At 41.7% G+C, this 20,752-nt stretch overlaps 1 long non-coding RNA gene across 6 annotated transcripts in view; it reads right to left on the bottom strand.

The window, feature by feature from the left end:
• Positions 1-20,752, bottom strand: part of ST8SIA5-DT (ST8SIA5 divergent transcript) — a 45,010-nt gene that overhangs the window by 7,283 nt on the left and 16,975 nt on the right. For 2 of the 6 annotated variants that reach the window (XR_001753435.2, XR_001753432.3), the window contains exons 3-4: positions 10,601-10,712; positions 8,761-9,294 (exon numbers count right to left, since the gene is read on the bottom strand). The exons of 1 other annotated variant lie outside the window; for it this stretch is intronic. This is a non-coding gene — a long non-coding RNA (ST8SIA5 divergent transcript). Of the gene's footprint in view, positions 1-8,760; positions 9,295-10,600; positions 10,713-20,752 lie in introns of those variants that run through there. 3 more of the 6 variants (XR_007066356.1, XR_001753436.3, XR_001753433.3) reach the window with 2 other exon arrangements.

The following is a 20,752-nucleotide window of genomic DNA, read 5'->3' as shown; positions in this document are numbered from 1 at the left end:
CTTTCCTTTTGGGTTCATCAGTTTTGAGGATTAGAATACATGTAAAGCTATCAGAGCAATACTGAGCACTTACTAAGTGCTATTACACTACCTTTTAATTAATGGAAATGTATAGAAATTAATCTAATTATTAAATCTTAGGTTGGAATAAATGGTTCTCATTTTCCTAGCCCCTACTTAAGCCCAAATACGAACATTTTCCCTCCTCATTAGGACCATGAATGCAACTAAAAATGTAAAAAGCAGTGAAGCAATGCAAGCTGATAAAATTATGAGACCAAAGGTATCAAAGTATTTGCCAGCATGAGCTCATTCATATATTTCACTCAGTTTGAATTTCTAGTTTGAAATCAACCTGGTTTTAAACTGCTCATTAGTATATTTTGTAATTGAATGTATTTTGTGTATAATAAACTTACTACATTTTACTTATTTTGTGACTAGTGCCAGGTTACATTTTAATTGCTCTTACTAACTTGGCAATACCACCACCAATTTATTTCCTTTGAAGGTCTCAGAGCTGAGAGGGGATAGTGTTTTAAGCTCTCAAGAGAGATAAAGGTATTAAAACATACTGTTTGTATTAGGGTACTGACTTTTTTTAGAGATATTAAAACGTCTTTTATATAACTTTTCCCCCAAAAAGCTACATTCCAGAATCCCCTGAAGAATACAGGGCAGAAGTCTTTTCACCTCCTAACTTCTTATTTTCTAAAGGGAAATCAGGCCACAGACTGTTCACCAAAAATGAAATAATTAAGACTCCAAACTGACTTTCAACCCAAGACATTTCCCATCAGGCCCTGCCATCTCTTGGAAGAACAGTAACTACACTATATAAGGCTAGGGAGGTGGTGCTGGTGGGCTCCAAAGGACAGTGTAAGGTCTCTCTCTATATATAATACACCCATTTCATCCATATCCACAAATCCTAACCCAGTGATTCCCAGCCCTGGCTGCACATCAGTTACCTGGGGAACTTGCAAAAATTCATCTGTGACTGGACCCTACTTCAAACTGAGTCAATGTCTGGAGGATGGGGACCCAGGCATGGGCACTTTTTAAAGCTCCCTGGTGGGATTCTGAGGTGCAGCCAGGGCTAAGAACCATAATGCCTAGTAAGTTTGGATGCCTTTGATAAATAACAATAATTGAGTAGCGGAATGAACGTTTAGGACTGTAGGAAATAGTAGCTTCCTGAAGCTCTCATCTGCCTGTAAATAGGCCTACTTATTCCAGAGGCTTCCATCTATGCAAGAGAATCCCAGTTGCAGTGGAAAGTCTGCTGGAGTAAAAAAATAGTAGTAGTAGGAGAAATATACATTGAAGCCCTCTGTTGTCCCCTTACACCCAAGTCTAGCTGTTGGAGCAGTTGCCAGGCTTTGGGGGAGCTCTTATTAAGATAGAAAGCCACCCTGGCCTTCCCAGTTGCCTCGTAGCTGCCCTCCCTTCTAGGGAATGTTGCTGGAGGTTCTGCAGGGGTTGGGAGGGAGGAGGGGATGGTTCTTCCTGCCCAGACTAAGACAATCTTCCAAGACTGGGAGAGAGGACAGTAGATATTGAATGAGGACTCCAGAGCAGCTGTAGGAGCTGATGACCAATACCTGGGACCTCTTGCAGCACCTCTTAGACATGGGCGTGGGGGAGCTCTGTCTGCCTGAGGCTGAATTTTCTGCCTGCCCTGCCATAGAGGTACAGGCAGGATTATATTAATTTAAAGGAAATAAACACAAATGCCCAAGTCTATGCACAGATTTATGCCATAAAACAAAGGAATTAGCCTTCATTGAATGTCTAATAGCCAATATTTATTGATTCCTCCTTATGTGCCAGGCACTGGCTAGCTCATTTAACCATCATAGTGGTCCTGTGAGGTAGATGCTCTTGTCTCCATAACATGATAGACACATTGAGGTGAAGTGAAATAACTTGCCCCAAGTCACACACTAGCAGGTGAGAAAAATGAAATTCAAAGTCAGGGCACCTCATTCCAGATCCTGTGCCCTTAGGCTTTACCCAGATTGCTGGCTAGGTCTTTTCACCTACATCTTCTCACTTAATCCTCAAAACAACCTGTAAGGCAAGTGGTATTTCAGCAAGTGGTTTTACGGCAAAGAAACTGAAGCACTGAGAGAAACTTGCCCAACATCTCACAGCTAGTCAGTGATGGACTCCATGTCTGTCTGGTGATGAACACAAATTCTGATTCTCTACCTGTCCTCTGTCTCCTCTCCCTCCCTTTCTGAGAGAATCAAAATGACAGAGCCAGTCCATTCCTGGTCTAGCAAGGCACACACACATGCATCTGTAATGTAAGGTAACCACATTCTAATGCAGTAAGTGCTAAAGCAGCTCTTTGTAAAGTATTATGGGTGGTGGGGATGGAGGAACTGCTCTGACAAGGAGGACAAACTTCTGGCAAAGAACCAAACGAAGAACAGAATTTTCAGGTGGATCAGTTCAGCAGACTCATTCCAAGTGAAGATAGCACCATGTGTGAAGGCTCAGGATGTGAGCATATACACAAGGGTAGGTCCAGGTTTTGTGGAGGTGGAAATTAGACAATTTAGGGTCCTTATTTAGGAAAATGCAGTACTGGGAATACTAGTATTATACTAAGAGGTATGAAAGTCAGTGTTCATTAAGAATGAGAAAGGTCATGGCAATTCAAGATTTTAAAAGCTGACTTTGTTGGGAGTTCTTAAAGAGTACCCACAGGCTCAATTATAAAGGGACTCAGAGAAGATGTTTTGGACCAGGCACGGTGGCTCATGCCTGTAATCCCAGCACTTTGGGAGGGCAAAGCAGGTGGATCACCTGAGGCCAGGAGTTCAAGACCAGACTGGTGAATATGGGGAAACCCTGTCTCTACTAAAAATACAAAAACTAACTGGGTGCGGTAGCTCAGGACTGTAAATCCCAGCTACTTGGGAGGCTGAGGCAGGAGAATCACTTGAACCTGGGAGGCGGAGGCTGCAGTGAGCTGAGATTGCACCACTGCACTCCAGCCTGGGTGACAGAGTGAGACTCCATGTCAGCAACAAAAGCTGTTTTCCTCATGGTAATGGTTTACTACAACAGAAGGGTATGGATGAAACTCAGCAAACAAAACGGCACATGGGGTGAAGTCCAGGAGAAATTATGTCCAAGTTTTCATTTGTCCTCTCCCAGTGGAGTTGCACAGACAGCACTGAATTATCCCAGCAACAATGTGTCATTGTAGGTAGAGTGCAGCCAACCAGGGAAGCTCAGTTGAGCCTTGGTGTCCATGGTTTTTATTGGGGAGCGGGGGGGTCAGTCACAGGCATCAACATCTGAATGACTGACCTTAGCTACTTGGTCTCTAGTCCCCAGAGGTCAAACTGATACAGCATGGCTCAGGGATTCAGACAGACAAAAACAGGATATTCTAGGGGGCCAGAAGTTCTCTTCCCAGGAGCTGATCAAGGGACAGTCCTTTATTTGGCATGTGCAGGGTTTGAACAATCTGAGCCTGCTGAGTTAACCCTTTTTGGCACATTGAGCAATACCACAAAGCCTAGAAAAAAATTTTATTAATTAACTGCTTGACATATCACTATAAACATTTTTTCTACATTATTGCATTTCTCGAGTGCATCTTTATATTTTGAAATATTTTCTATAGTGACAAAAGATAATTCATTGTTCTAGAAAAGTTGATAAGAACTTAAAGAGCATGCAGTTTCACAAATCTGCTGTTTGTGGTACTGTTACCAATGGAGGGTGTCCAGGTTCCTGGCATCTTGAAGAAAGAATTGGACAAAATGCAGAAAGCAAGGAAAGAATGAAGCAACAAAAGCAGAGATGTATTGAAAATGAAAGTACACGCCACAGGGTGGGAGCGGGCCCAAGCATAGGGTCTCAAGAGGCCCGTTACGGAATTGTCTGGGATTTAAATACCCTCTAGAGGTTTCCATTGGTTACTTGGTGTACACACTATGTAAATGAAGATGATGAAGTAAAGTTACAAAGTCATTCACTTGGTGTACACCCTATGTAAATGGAGAGGATGTTTCCTATCATAGCTGAAGTGTTTCCATTTGATTTAGTTCTAGGAAATCAGCATGAATTGGCCTTATGTTCTCTGCCTCCAGACCCCATTGTCCTGCCTCAATACCACTGCAGGTTGTGCCTGAAAAACACAGCATTCCAATAAATTGTTTTTCACAATTCCTATTAAAAAATAGTAGTGCATTTGTTTATAATTGTATATGCTACATTATCTACAATTATCTGTATTTGTATACACATGACCAGGTAAACACATTACTAGAGTTTTTCTGAGGCCTTTGAAGGGGCTGTAGAGCTTGGACTCCTTCAACTTAATGGTAAAGCCTCCTCTGAGTTCAAGAATTTTTTTTTTTCTTCAAGATGGAGTCTTGCTTTGTTGCCCAGGCTGGAGTGCAGTAGCTCAATCTCAGCTCACTGCAACCTCCACCTCCTGAGTTCAAGCAATTCTCCTGCCTCAGCCTCCCAAGTAGCTGGGACTACAGGCACGTGCCACTAGGCCCGGCTAATTTTTGTATTTTTTGTAGAGATGGGATTTCACCACGTTGGCCAGTCTGGTCTCGAACTCCTGACCTTGTGAGCCACCGCGCCCAGCCTGCAAGAATTATTTACTAATACCCTACCCTGTACTTAGCATGGTGCTGAATTTTTATGGAAGCATCTGAGAACTGTACCTATCCCTGCTTATAAGTGTACATAGTCCTGTTAGGGAGAAACAAAATATAAAATTGCACAAGTAAAGTACATATATATGACCTCAGAAAGGACTTCCAGACCCTAGGAGAACCTAAAAGGTCTGCAAAACTTTCCCTCTTGAGGCCCCTTGCCCCATTTCGCCTTCCAATCATTTAGAATTTGAAGGCAAATTAGAGGATAACTGAAACTGACAAATCAGGAGCTTTTCTTGTTACCAGAATGAATTTTGTAAAACTCAAATCTGAATTCCTACTTCTCCAGCACATGATAGTTTTTTAATAAAACTTTATACTAAGCAAGATAGAAATTTATAAAATTCAGTGTATATTATTTTTTAATGTGTAAATGAAACTGGATACTAAAGGCTAGTATTATGATAAAGGTAACTTAAAAACCACTGAGTGAACTGATGAATAAAATAAGTTTGACACATATATTTTTAAATAAATGAGGTTTAAATTAAAAGTTAAATGCAAAGTGTAGAAACTTAAAAATATTACAAAGTTAGCTACAAAAATATTTTTAAAAGGTGACCCACAAGGGATTGTGAACAGGTTAGCATGCTTTTAAATTAAGAAACAGAAACAGAATGCATGGCTGCTCAAAAAGAGTATCTTTTTGTGCTTTCTTGAGGGAGAGGGTTGTGGAGGGGAAACCCTCCAACTCGGGCTGGCTAACAGGGATGCTTCCTTATGAAACGTGCTCACCTAAGAATACCAGTGAGACCATCGGCACTTTCTGTAATTGGCAGCAATAGAGCTATTAGAAGAAACATGAAAGAGATAGATGGATCTGAAATCAACATTTGTAACAAAAGGCCTCACCATGTTCCCCAGCACAAATGTGCTACTGATTAGCAGCTAAAATGTGAGCATCCCTACTCAAATTCACCCTGTTCTCCCCATCCTGAAGGTTCTGATATTAATGCATAACATTGTAGCTTATAATGCTTTTACTTAACATTATCTTATTCATGCATCATCAGAGAATGATCTACCAAAATGTATGGAGAGAAAGCTAAAAATGTAAAGTGGCTGTTCTCAATCTTAGCTACATATTAGAACAACTTGGGGAGTTTTTAAATTCTGTGATAACCACACTGCCCTCAGACCAATCCGAATTCTGGGGCTTAAATCCAGGTGGAGTGCTAGCCACATGTAGAGCAGCTTTCTGCTTTCATATATATCTGGGCTTAGGCCTCGGTGAGGGTTGGGAAGGGCCTATGACCTCTGAAGAGCCTTCACATTACAGCCCAGGAACAGCTGGCCCACAGCAGGAGAGATGCAGAGCCTGAGGTGGAGGGCCAAGCCTGGGGAATAGGGGGTGCTTTGAAGAGCGTGGTGGTGAATGGAGGCTTAATGAAGCAGAAACTCTACTGCTGTCCAGCTGCCCCAAATTACCTGAATTTAGAAAGGAACACAAAGTTACAGTGAGTGCATTTTATTTTAGCTCAGACAAATCCAACACCATGGATAGAAGGAGGGAAAGTAAAGATCCCATTCAGAGCCTTCCTCCTCCAAGAATTGAGGGGCTTTCTCATTTTTCTCTCTGTAAAGGATCATTTCATAATTCAGCTCTCTTACTTTTATAAGCCACTTTTAAAACCCACATTCCTGTGTGTATTTATATCTATTTCTGTGCTTTCTATTCTGTTCTATTAGTAATCAGTCCATTCAAGTGTCAGTACCATGCTGTTTTAATTATGGAGGCTTTATACTGTGTTTTAATAACTGGTCAAGCTATGTCCCTTACTGTGCTGCTTTTTTCAGAGTTGAAAAAGATTTAATAAAATCACAAATTTAATTGGATTTAATCCTTCATGTAAACAATATACAAATTATTTTCCTCCTTGCCTCTGGTTCTTATTCTTTTTTAATCATCTTTGGTGAATTTTTTTCTTTCATATAAGATCTTAGGAGTAGATGGAGAGGAGTGACTAAATCTCACAAGAACAGACTCAATATTACCACACAGTACCGAGGGGAAAATCCACCCCCATGATTAAATCACCTCCCACCAGACCCCACCCCTAACACCGAGGGTTACAATTAGACATGAGATTTCAGTGGAGACACAGATCCAAATCATATCAGCTACTTTGGAAGACAGTATAGAAGTTTCTCTTAAAACTGAACGTACTCTTACCATATGATCCAGTAATGATACTCCTTGGTATTTACCCAAATGAGTTGAAAACTTAACACACACACAAAAAAAACGAACCCACACATGGATATTTTTAGGAGTTTCAGTCATAATTGCCAAAATTTGAAAGCAACCAAGATGTCTTTCAGTAGGTGAATGGAAAAATAAACTGTGGTATATCCAGAGAGTGGAATATTTTTCATTGTTAAAAAGAAATGAGCAGGCCAGGCACAGTGGCTCATGCCTGTAATCCCAGCACTTTGGGAGTTCGAGGTGGGTGGATTGCCTAAGGTCAGGAGTTCGAGACCAGCCTGACCAACATGGTGAAATCCCGTCTCTACTAAAAATAAAAAAACTAGCCGGGCGTGGTGGTGGGTGCCTCTAATCGCAGCTACTCAGGAGGCTGAGGCAGGAGAATCACTTGAACCCGGGAGGCGGAGGCTGCAGTGAGCAGAGATCACGCCATTGCACTCCAGCCTGGGCAATAAGAGTGAAACTCCAGCTCAAAAAAAAAAAGAAAGAAAGAAATGAGCTATCAATGATGAAAAGACATGAAGGAACATTAGATGCATGTTATTAAGGAAGCCAGTCTGAAAAGGCTATATAATGCATTATTTCAACTATATGACACTCAGGAAAAAGTAACACTATAAAGATAGTAAAAAGATCAGTGGTTCCAGGGGTTAGGGAAGGAGGAATGAACAGGCAGGGTACAGGATCTTTACAGCAGTTAAACTATTCTAAATAATGGTGGAGGCATTTCATTATGAATTTGTCAAAACCTATAAAATGTATAACGCAAAGAGTGAACCCTAGCATAAACTATGAACTTTAGGTCATAATATTTTGTCAATGTAAGTTCATTGATTATTAACAAATCTACCACTCAGGTGTGGGATGTTGACAGTGGGAGAGGTTGTGCATGTGTGGGGGTAGGTGGTATAAGGGAACTCTCTGTACTTTCCCCTCAATTTGCTAAGAACCTAAAACTGGTGTAAAAAACTGAAGTCTATTTTTTTTTTTTTAAAAAAAAGTGTACACGAGCAAACAGTTTGTAAACGTCATTTGCTTAAAAATTGCATAAAATATGTCAATAATTAACAGTCAGTTGACTCTAAATGAAGGCATTATTAAGAAAAACTAGATTATATACCAAAAATAATTCCTAAAACTGAAAAATATAGAGGAAAACACCTTTATGCTCTTGTGTTAGGCAAAGGTTTCTTATATCAACCCCATAGACATCCATCTTTAAAAAGATACACAGACCGGGTGCGGTAGCTTATGCCTGTAATCCCAGCACTTTGGGAGTCCAAGGCAGGTGGATTACCTGAGGTCAGGAGTTTGAGACCGGCTGGCCAACGTGGTGAAACCCCGTCTCTACTAAAAATACAAAAATTAGCTGGGCGTGGTGGCATGCACCTGTAATCCCAGCTACTTGGGAGGCTGAGGCAGGAAAATCGCTTGAACCCCAGGGGCAGTGGTTGCAGTGAGCTGAGATCGTGCCATTGCACTCCAGCCTGGGCGACAAGAGCAAAACTCCATCCCCCCCCCCCCCAAAAAAAAAAAGAGATACACAAAGCTTCAGAATAAAATTTGATATGGTTTGGCTCGTGTCCCCACCCAAATATGTTGAACTGTAATCCCATTAATCCCCATGTGTTGAGTGAGGGACCTGGTGGGAGGTGATTGGATCCTGGGAGCGGTTTCCCCCATGCTGTTTTCATGACAGTGAGTGAGTTATCATGGGATGTGATGGTTTTATAAGTGTCTGACAGTTCCTCTTTCATACCCTGTCTTTCTTGCTTGCCACCATGTAAGACCTGTCTTGCTTCCCCTTCAACTTCCACCATGACTGTAAAGTTTCCTCAAGCCATGTAGAACTGTGAGTCAATTAAACCGCTTTCCTTTATTAATTACCCAGTCGCTGGTAGTATCTTTACAGCAGTGTGAAGATGGACTAATACAAAGCTTTATTTTAAAAAAAAAAAACACATTATTTAAAAACTGAAATGATGAGGTCTAGGCTGGAAGAAAATATTTGCAAAAGACATATCTGTATCCAGAGGAAAATACAATGTATATGTGTGTAAACAACTCAATTCTAAAATAGGAAAAATAATTGAATAAAAATTTTACCAAAGAATAGATATGGGCCAGGCACGGTGACTAATGCCTGTAATCCCAGCACTTTGGGAGGCTGAGGTGGGTGGATCACAAGGTCAAGAGTTCGAGACCAGCCGGGCCAATATGGTGAAACCCCCGTCTCTACTGAAAATACAAAAATTAGCCAGGCGTGGTGGCAGGCACGTGTAGTCCCAGCTACTCGGGAGGCTGAGGCAGGAGAATCACTTGAACTCGGGAGGCAGAGGTTGCAGTGAGCCGAGATGGCACCAGTGCACTCCAGCCTGGGCCACAGAGAGTCTGTCTCAAAAAAAGAAAAAAATAAATAAATATGGATGGCAAATAATCAAAAAGGTGCTAAACACCATTAGTCTTTAAGCAAATGTAACTTAAAACTACAATAAGATATCATATGTGCCTGTTAGAATAACCAGAAAATAATATAATGCTAGTATTTGCAGCTAAAACTCTCATACACTGTTGGGGGAATAAAAAATGGTACAACCACTTTGGAAAACGTTTTGGGACTTTCTTTATAAAGTTAAACATACACTTACAGTATGACCCAGCAGTTCCACTAAAACCTGTATATGAATATTTATAGCATTTTAAATTCATAATTGCCCTGAATTGGAAAATCAAAATATTTTCAACTGTGAGGTGATTAGAAACTGTGGTACATCTGTACAACAGAATACTTAGCAATAAAAAGGAAATATACAATAACATGGATGAATTTCAAAGGAAATTCATTTTTCAATTTTCAAATGAATTGCTAAATGAAAGAAACTAGACTCAAAAGACTACATATAATACCATTTATATGACATACCAGAAAAACTATAGGGACAGAAAGCAGATCAGTGATTTCCAGGGAATGGTGGTGGCAGAAGGAGTTGACTACCAAGGGTCACATGGAATTCTCAGGGTAATAGAACAGTTATTTAATTTTTATGGCAGTTACACAACTCTGCTTTTGTGAAAATGCATAAAATTGTATATGTGGGGAATTTTACTATGTAAATTATATATCAATAAACGTGACTCGTCTAAATAAAAAATTTGTACCAACAAAATAAAGGAGAAAACAATCATCTCAATAGATTCAGAAAAATGCATTTGAAAAACTTGTTAAAAATCATAACAAAAATAAATAAAAATAAAAATAATATCAACACCCATTCGTGATAAGGGCTCTTGACAAACTAGGAATGGAAGAGATTTTCCTCAACTTGATAAAGCATAACTATGAAAAATTTACAGATAGTATCATTATTAATGGTGAGATATGCGCTTTTCCTTTAAAATGTTAATAACAAAGCAAGAATGGCCACTTTCTCCAGTTCTATTCAATATTGTTATGGAGGCCCTAGCAAATATAAGAAGACAAGACAAAAAGATAGTAGATTTACAAAGGAAAAAGAACTGTATGCACAGACAAAGTGATTATGTATGCAAAAATCCCAAAGGAATTTATAAAAAATGTCTAGAACTAGTAAGTGACTCACAGTATCGGATACGAGGTTGTATTAGGGTTCTCTAGAGGGACAGAACTAATAGGATATATATATATGTATAAAATGGAGTTTATTAAGCATTAACTTACACGATCACAAGATCCCACAATAGGCTGTCTGCAAGCTTGAGGAACAAGGAGAGCCAGTCCCAGTCTCAAAACTGTAGAACTGGGAGTCCAATGTTTGAGGGCAGGAAGCATCCTGCATGGGAGAAAGATATAGGCTGAGAAGCTAGGCCAGTCTCAACTTTTTATGTGTTTTTGCCTGCTTTATATTTGCCGGCAGCTGATTAGATGGTGTCCACCCAATTAAGGGTGGGTCTGCCCTTCCCAGCCCACTGACTCAAATGTTAATCTCCTTTGGCAAAACCCTCACAGATACACCCAGGATGAATACTTTGTATCCTTCAATCCAATCAAGTTGACAATATCAACCATCACAAATCCACTCGTTGTCAACTTGAACCCATACACATCTCCTGAGATCATACATAATCTTCAAATAAAGAGTAATAAGGTCATAATTATGCCTAACATGATACAACTATTGTTCGTATAACCAGAAATGCACCAATCCTCAACCCAAATACTATTACATAAAGTTAACAATACTTAAATGCTGATATCAAGTCAATAAATCTTATGAACATGATAAAGGAAATGAAGGTATTTTCTTAGTACAAGTGTAGACATGCACAAACATGTTTTTAACAAAAGAAAGAGAAAATACTCGTGACAATTACAGTCCCCGGTTCTGCAGCTGGTCACGTGGTCATAGCTGGTATTGACTACCTTCTCTATTACCCATTCTGTATTCCCTCTGCCTTTAGCCAGCACCTCAGCAGGTCATGGTTTTTTTCCTGGTGGAGTGACCCAAACCTTCATTCCTGAAGGGTCTGGGCCATTGTAGTTTCCCATTGACCTTAATCACAGGGCATGGTAATACTAAGAGACATCCTAATGGATCTCCCGTATTCCATGCATACTATTCCTTACCTCCGTTGTGGAGTAGTGGACTGCTTTCATCTTGATAGTCTGGGTCAATCACCCCAGCCAACACTAACTCCTTAGCCTGTTGACTTAAAGGTAGGAGGAGCCCAAAGTGTCCAGGTGGCAATCTTAACCTCCAGTTTAATGGGATTGTTGTCATGTCTTCTGGTGGCAATATCCCTCCCTCTGGAACTAAGACCTCTAGGCCAGAAGAACGTAATGTCGCGGGAACAGGAAGCAAAAATTTTGCTAGTGGATCACTAGGGGTGATGATGAGTGGTGCCACTTCCGCTTTCACCCCTTGATTCCTGGACCTGTGAATCCTGGCTATGGGAGAGACAGTACCATATATTGGATGCTGATTCAGAGTATATACGGCCTTCTGGAGAACTTTGTCCTGGCCCTGAAAAGTATTGTCACATAGTTGGCATTGTAATTGTGACTTCAAAAGACTATTCCACTGTTCTATCATTCCAGCTGCTTCAGGATGATGGGGATCATGGTAAGACCAGTGAATTCCATGAGCATGAGCCCACTGCCGCACTTCTTTAGCCGTAAAGTGAGTGCCTTGGTCAGAGACAATGCTGTGTGGAGTACCATGGCGGCGAATAAGGCATTCCATGAGTCCGTGGATAGTAGTCTTGGCAGAAGTATTGCATGCAGGGTAGGCAAACCCATATCCAGAATAAGTGTCTATTCCAGTGGGGACAAACTTCTGCCCTTTTCATAATGGACGAGGTCCAATATAATCAACCTGCCACCAGGTAGCTGGCTGATCACCCTGAGAAGTGCTGCCATATCAAGGGCTCAGTGTTGGTCTCTGCTGCTGGCAAACTGGTCACTCAGCAGTGGCCATAGCCAGGTCAGCCTTAATGAGTGGAAGTTCATGTTGCTGAGCCCATGCTTAACCTCCATCCCTGCCACCATGGCCACTTTGTTCATGGGCCCATTGGGCAATAACAGGGGTGGCTGAGGAAAAGAGGCTGAGTGGTGTCCACAGAACAGGTCATCCTATCCACTTGATTATTAAAATCCTCCTCTGCTGAGGTCACACATACATGGGATACAAATATCTTCAGTTTTTGACCACTCAGGGAGATCCATCCACATACCTCTTCCCCAAATTTCTTTGTCACCAATTCTCCAATCATGCTTCTTCTAAGTCCCTGACCATCCAGCCAAACCACTGGCTACAGCCCATGAATGAGTATATGATCGCACATCTGGCCATTTCTCCTTCCATGCGAAATGCACAACCAGGTGCACTGCTCAAAGTTCTGCCCACTGGGAAGATTTCCCTTCACCGCTATCCTTCAGGGATGTCCTAGAAAGGGGCTGTAGTGCTACAGCTGTCCACTTTTGGGTGGTGCCTGCATATCATGCAGAACCATCGGTGAACCAGGCCCTAGCCTTCTCTTCCTGTCAACTGATCATAGGGAACCCTCCATGAGGCCATCGGTGCAGGCTGAGGGAGAGAAGGCAGGGTGGCAGGAGTGGAGACCGTGTGTATTTGAGCCACTTCCTCATGTAACTTACTTGTGCCTCAGGACCTACTTGAGCCTGATCACGTATATACCACTTCCATTTGATGATGGAATGCTGCTGTGCGCAACCCACTTTATGGCTAGATGAGCCAGAAATTACCCAGTTCATGATAGGAAGTTCAGGTCGCATGGTGACTTGATGACCCGTAGTCAAACGTTCAGTTTCCACCAAAGCCCAGTAACAGGCCAAGAGTTGTCTCTCAAAAGGAGAGTAGTTATCTGGAGAAGATGGCAGGGCCTTGCTCCAAAATCCTAGAAGTCTCTGCTGTGATTCACCTATGGGGGCCTTCCAAAGGCTCCAAACAGCATCCCTCTCTGCCACTGACGCCTCAAGCACCATTGGATCTGCTGGGTCATATGGCCTAAGTGGCAGAGCAGCTTGCACAACTGCCTGGACCCCACATGGGCCAGAATAACACACCCATATGAGGAATGTGTTGCCTCCAAAATCCAAATAGGTCCATTAGGTGTTGTGCCTTTCTTGATTGTAGGATGGACCAAATGCAGCAATTTATCCTTCACCTTAGAAGGAATATCTTGACAGGCTCCACACCACTGGACCCCTAGAAATTTTACTGAGGTAGAAGGTCCCTGAATTTTAGTCAGATTCATATCCCATCCTCTGGCACACAAATGTGTTACCAATAAGTCCACTGTGTTTGCTACTGCTTGCCCACTGGATCCAATCAGCATAATGTCATCAATGTGATGGACCAGTGTGATATATTCTGGAAGCGAAAAGCGATCAAGGTCTCTCCGAATAAGATTATGGCACAAACCTGGAGAGTTGATATACCCTTGAGGTAGCACAGTAAAGGTATATTGCTGGCCTTGCCAGCTGAAGGTAAATTGTTTCTGGTGGGCCTTATGGACGAAATGGAGAAAAAGGCATTTGCCTGGTAAATGGCTGCATACCAGGTACCAGGAGATGTGTTAATTTGCTCAAGCAATGAAACCACATCTGGTACAGCAGCTGCAACTGGAGTCACCACTTGGTTAAGCTTACGATAATCCACTGTCATTCTTCAAGATCCATCTGTCTTCTGCACAGGCCAAATGGGAGAGTTGAATGGGGATGTGCGTCCTGAGAGGTGCGTCCTGAGTACAGTCAACATTATTTTGCCTAGCAACTGCCTCAGGGGAGGCCATCACTGTTGCCTCAGGCAGTGCAGAGTTTTTCTTCTCAGACAAAGGTAGAAAGGCTGATGGCAGCATGGGTCTGGGAGGGGATGTTGCCACTACTGGGGGTGGGGAAGCTGTTCCTTCTGGTAACAAAGGTTCATCAGAGGTTACAAACTCAGTGTCCCCAGCTTCATCAGGGTCCTCCCACATGTCCCCATTCCAAGTTGCAGGGTCCCATTCTTTTCCAGTCAATGCCCTCACTTTAACAGTAGATGGCTGGGCGTGGTGGCTCACGCTTGTAATCCCAACACTTTAGGGGGCCAAGGTGGGCAGATCATGAGGTCAGGAGTTCAAGAACAGCCTGGCCAACATGGTGAAACCCCATCTCTACTAAAAATACAAAAATTAGCTGGGCATGGTGGTGCACATCTGTAATCCCAGCTACTTGGGAGGCTGAGGTAGGAGAATCACTTGAACCCAGGAGACAGAGATTGCAGTGAGCCGAGATCATGCCACTGAACTCCAGCCTGGGCAACAAAGCAAGACTCTGTCTGAAAACAAAAACAAAAACAAAAACCGGTAGAAACAGTAGACACCTGGCGAGGCTGTTCATGCACTTTTTATTGCAGGTCAGCCACTAGCATGATAAGAGCTTGTGTCTGTTTTTCCACAATTTCAGCTCTTTCTCTACAGGAGATAAGATTCTCACTCAGGGTAGTCTTAGCAGATTTGAGGCTCAGTATCTGCTTCTGAAGCCAAGAGACAGAATCCCTGAGTTAATCATTTTATTTCATCACTTTGTCCAGTGAACTTAGGAGCAACCAACCAGCTTCATTACGTTCCTTGGTTCTCCACACATGGTCAAAGGTATTATGTATAGAGTCACTAAACTCCTTGCCTCTCATGAGTGGTGACTCAGAAGTGTCAAATGCATTTATTTTGCATAACTTTCTTAAACAGTTTATGCTAAGGACTATCAGTGTTCTCCATACTATTAGAAGTAGAGTCCTTAGTATTTTTGAGTCGAATCATATTAAGCTGCCAACTCCAGAAAACCCCAAAACCAACAAAAGAACTCCATCCTTAATATTTTGTTCCTCTAGAACCACTCCTGGTTTCAAAATCTATATTAGTCAGGGTTCTCCAGAGGGACAGAACTAATATGATAGAACTAATAGGATAGCCTTTATATGTGTATAAAGGGGAGTTTATTAAGTATTAACTTACATGATCACAAGATCCTACAACAGGCTGTCTGCAAGCTTGAGGAACAAGGAGAACCAGTCCCAGTCTCAAAACCGTAGAACTTGGAGTCCAATGTTTGAGGGCAGGAAGCGTCCCGCACAGGAGAAAGATATAGGCTGGTGGGCTAGGCCAGTCTCAACTTCTCACATTTTTCCGCCTGCTTTATAGTTGCTGGCAGCTGATTAGATGGTGCCACCCAATTAAGGGTGGGTCTGCCTTTCCCAGCCCACTGACTCTAATGTTAATCTCCTTTAGCAAAACCCTCACAGACACACCCAGGATCAATACTTTGTATCTTTCAATCCAATCAAGTTGACACTCATTATTAACCATCACAGAGGTAAATGTTTAAAAATTATTTCTATTTCTATATGCTAGCGACAAAAATTTGGAAAATGAGATTTAAAAGATGCCAGGCCAGATGTGGCTCATGTCTATAATGCCAGCACTTTGGGGGTCTGAGACAGGAGAATTGCTTGAGGCCAGTGGTTTGACACTAGCCTGGGCAACATAGCAAGACCCATCTTTACAAAAAAAAAAAAAAATAGCCAGATGTGGTGGCACTCTTCTGTCGTTCTAGCTACTCAGGAAGCTGAGGCTTGAGGATCACTTGAGCCCAGAAGTTTGAGGTTGCAGTGAGCTATTATTGTGCCAGTGCACTCCAGCCTGGGTGGCAGAGGGAGACCCTGTCTATAAAATAAAAATAAAAATTAAATAATGAATAAATATTAAAAATGTCATTTTTATGCAGCAACTCCTCAGTAGCAGTGAGCACACCTAGTTGCCAGATCTTGGTTTCTAAAGCCATTCTCAAACAAAAGGAACCAAGGCTCCTTGGAGATATGGCTGATTCTAAGACTGGGGCATAACATAGATGAGCCTGAGCATCTTGTAGTGTCAGAATGTTAGGGAGTGATAAAGAAACAAACAAAAGGAAAAATCACCGATGGAGGTATGTCAGAGGGACACAGAAGCCTACTGAAAAATGCCCTAAAGACCAAAGTTGGGACAATTTGTGCAACAAAATAGTATTAGACTATAACCCAGATTTACAGTAAATATCCAGTGTCCACACTGATATAAACAAATGATATTCAATCATTTGTTTATTTATTCAAAATAAATTCGTGGATGATCAGAGAAAATTATATGCAGAAGAATTCCAAATAATTTATGTAGATACACTACCCTAAAAGAAATGGAGCATAACTCTCTACCACTTAAGTGTGGCTATGCACAGTGACTTCTTTCCAATGAGTATAGTGTGGACAGGGGAAACAAAGTAACTTTACAGTGGAAAACATGACAAACACTGCCTCAGCCAGATGATCAAGGTCAAAATCAACAGTGATAAGTCATGTTGATAGTATGTCCCTGTCTTAGTCTTTTTAAAATTTTATTTTATTTTTATTTTTTTGAGATGGAGTTTCACTCTTGTTGCCCAGGCTGGAGTGCAATGGCGTGGTCTCAGCTCACTGCAACCTCTGCCTCCTGGGTTCAAGCAATTCTTCTGCCCCAGCCTCCCAAGTAGCTGGGATTACAGGTGCCCACCACCACGCTTGGCTAATTTTTTTGTATTTTTAATAGAGACGGGGTTTCACCATGTTGGCCAGGCTGGCCTTGAACTCCTGACCTCAGGTGATCTGCCCACCTCGGCCTCCCAAATGCTGGGATTACAGATGTGAGCCATGGTTCCCGGCCCCTGTCTTAGTCTTTTTTGTGCTATAACAGAATACCACAGACGGGGTAATTTATAAAGAAAAGAAATTTATTCTTCACAGTGCTAGAGACTGGAAAATCCAAGAGTATGGTGCTAGCATGTGGCAAAAGCCTTGTGCTGCATTATCCCATGATGGAAGAACAAGAGACAGATAGAGGAAACCTGGCCAAACTCATCCTTTTTTTGAGGAACCTACTCCTGTGATAATGACATTAATCCATTCATTAGGGCAGAGGTGTTATAACCTAATCACCTCTTGAAGGCGCCACTGCCTGATATCATTACATTGGCAATTAAATTTCAACATGAGTTTTGGAGGTGACATTCAAATCATAGCAGTACCATTGATAAGATATGATGAAAATGGCAGTTTATTTCTGTGGTCTTCCTGCCAAAAACCCATAACCCCACTCTTATCATGAGAAAAACCCACAGTTCCCAATTGAGGGACATTCTACACAATACCTGACCAGTACTCTTACTCCTCTCACCTGCCAATATCATCAGAAACAAGAAAAGTTTGAGAAACTGTCACAGTCAAGAGGAACCTAAGACGACATGATGACTAAAAATAATGTGACATCCTGGATGGGACCCTAGGACAGAGAAAGGACTGGGTAAAAGCTAAGGAAATCTGAATAAACTCTGGAGTCTGGTGAGTAATAATGTATCAATATTGGTTCATTAATTGTGACAAATGTACCATACATTATAATGTAAGTTGTTGACAATAGAGGAAACTGACTTTGGAGTATGTGGAAACTCTGTTCCTCACAATTTTTCTTTAAAACTATTCTAAAAATAGAGTTTATTTTAAAAATACCAGTTACAGAGCATCAAAAAGCATAAAATACTTAGGAAGAAATATAACAAAAGATGTGGAAGGCCTCTATGCTGAAACTATAAAACACCGCTGGAAGAAGCTCAAGAAGACCTGAATAAACATAGATCTGTGTTCATAGACTGGAAGAGTTGATGTAGTTAAGATATAATATTGTTAAATGAATCCCAGTTTTAATCACATCAGACTTTTTGTAAAAATTGATATGCTAATTCTAAAATTTGTAGGAAATGTCAGAAGGACCTAGAATAAGCAAAACAATTCTCAAAGATTGAGGTTGGATGATTTCAGGATATACTATAAAGCTATAATCGTTAAGACAATATGTTATTGTGTATGGATAATTATATAGATCAATGGAATAGAATATCAAATTGAGAAGTAAACTCATACATATTTTGTAACTTGATTTTCAACAAAAACACCAATGCATTTCAGTAGGGGAAAGGAATCTTTTCAGTAAATGGTACTGGAATAACTGAATGTCCTTAAGAAACAGAAAAGGACCTTGACCTCTACTTCATAGCATACACAAAAATTAATTTGAGATGGATCACAAATTTAAACATGAAAGGTAAGTCTAAAAGTCTTCTTTTAGAAGAAAACAGGCCAGGCATGGTGGCTCGCGCCTGTAATCCTAGCACTTTGGGAGGCCAAGGCGGGCCGATCACGAGGTCAGGAGTTCGAGACCAGCCTGGCCAACATAGCAAAACCCTACTAAAAATACAAAAATTAGTCAGGGGTGGTAGCATGTGCCTGTAATCCCAGCTACTTGGGAGGCTGAGGCAGGAGAATCTCTTGAACCTGGGAGGGGGAGGTTGCCATGAGCGGAGACCACGCCATTGCACTCCAGCCTGGGTGACAGAGTGAGACTCCATTTCAAAAAAAAAAAAAAAGAAAAAGAAAACATAGGAAAATATCTTTTCAACTTTGGGGTAGGAAAAGATTTCTTAGGCACAAAAATTCCTAATCATAAAAGAAAATGATAAATTTGGCTCCACCAAAATCAAAACTTTCTGCTCAGTAAAAGACAATGTTAAGAAATGAGAACACAAGCCACATTGTTGGGGGAAATGTTCACAACATATAGAGACAGAGATAGAGAGATCTCCTACAAATCAATAATAAAAGAGAAAAAGCAGCATTATGGCTCTTCACAAAGGAAGGCTCTTCACAGAGGAAGGTAGAAAAATGGATAATAAGCATATGAAAAAAGCTATCCACTTCTCTTCCTCCAACACCTTCTTTAGCCACAGGTATCAGATAAGTGTGGGGGGAGGGTGAAGAGGGGGGAAGGATTGAATTACTTAGTGTATTAGTTGGGTTTCTCCAGAAACATGGAACCAATAGGGGGTGTGTGTGTGTGTGTGTGTGTGTGTGTGTGTGTGTGTGTAGACAGAGAGAGAGGGAGGGAGAGATTGATTTGTTTTAGAGAATTGGCTCATATCATTGTGGAGGCTAGCAGCTCCAAAATCTGTAGGGTATGGCTGGCAGACTGGAGCTCCAGGGAAGAGTTGATGTTGCAGTTTAAGTCTGAAGGCACCCTGGAAGCAGAATTCCCTCTTCCTTTGGGGACCTCAGTCTTTTTTTTTTGTCTTAAGACCTTCTACTGATTGGATGAGGCCTACCCACATTTTGAAGGGTAATGTGCTTTACTCAAAATCTACTGCCCTATTTAAATATTAATGTTAACCTCATCTAAAAAATATCTTCACTGAAAGATCTAGACTAGTGTATAACCAAATATTGAGGTACCATGGCCCAGCCAAATTGACATGTAAAATTAATCATTCTACTCAGCAAACATAAACTGAAGCTGCCTTCCCTGGGTGTGTCCATTGATGAGACAGCAGGGAAGGAGGGAAAGGTTCCTGCTTCTGCTGTGTTACAATCTCGTCAGGTGTAGCAGATTGCACACCAAGGAGGCAGTGATCCTGCCCTGCAAGAAGGCATAAGGAGTGAAGTGAGAGAAGGCTTTCTGGGAGAGGTGACAACTGAACTGAGTCTTGAAGGCTTGTTGATGTATCCTGATCTCCTAGAACAGTGCTTGACACATAGGAGGTGCTCAATAAATATTTGTGAATGAAGTCAGAAGCTATAATAAGAGAGGTAAATTGAGATGGTGGCTGAAAAGTTGGATGCAATGGAAAGAAAGCAACAAATAGATTTTAAATGGAACATGAGATCAGCATTGAGGAGTGGTCCAGGGGCAAGGGGGATAACAAATGGCAGGAGGTTAACCCAGGAGGCTGGAAGAACAGTCCAGAGTCTACTACATTAGACCAGACATGTTCATAAATAGGCAGCTAACTAAGGCATTGGCGAGCCTAAATGGTGAGAGATAGAAAGGAGGGAGATCTAGGAGGTGGGACCGAATGTGGGAGAGGCTCCAGGCATGGACCCAGCACTGGAAGGGCCTTCTTATACCCTTATTTTTACAGATGAGTCTGAGACCCAGAGAGGGAAAGCAACTTGTTCATGGCCACACAGCATGCTGACAGTGTAAACTGAACCAAAAATCCAGGTCCTGTCTCTGGTCACATGTTCTTTTCATGCCATATGGCCTGTGCTCTCTCTTGCTCTCCTAGCCAAGCTTGTCCTCGGAGTTACCAGTGTCATCCCAGTAGGGTCCTGGGGCCTCCTCACACAGCGCCACCTCTGACTACTGTTAAGAGTCTTGAGAGTCAGTAGGACGGTGATGAAGCCTCACCTGAAGCTTCTTCTGGGCTCAGTCCTTGTCCTGGAGCCGCTGCCTGCTATGCATGGCTGTGAGGCTGACC

The sequence above is a fragment of the Homo sapiens genome, chromosome 18, assembly GCF_000001405.40.
Source record: "Homo sapiens chromosome 18, GRCh38.p14 Primary Assembly".
In the NCBI taxonomy this organism is placed as follows: domain Eukaryota; kingdom Metazoa; phylum Chordata; class Mammalia; order Primates; family Hominidae; genus Homo; species Homo sapiens.
Note: the sequence above shows the minus strand (reverse complement) of the source record. Positions and strands in the feature narration are given on the sequence as shown.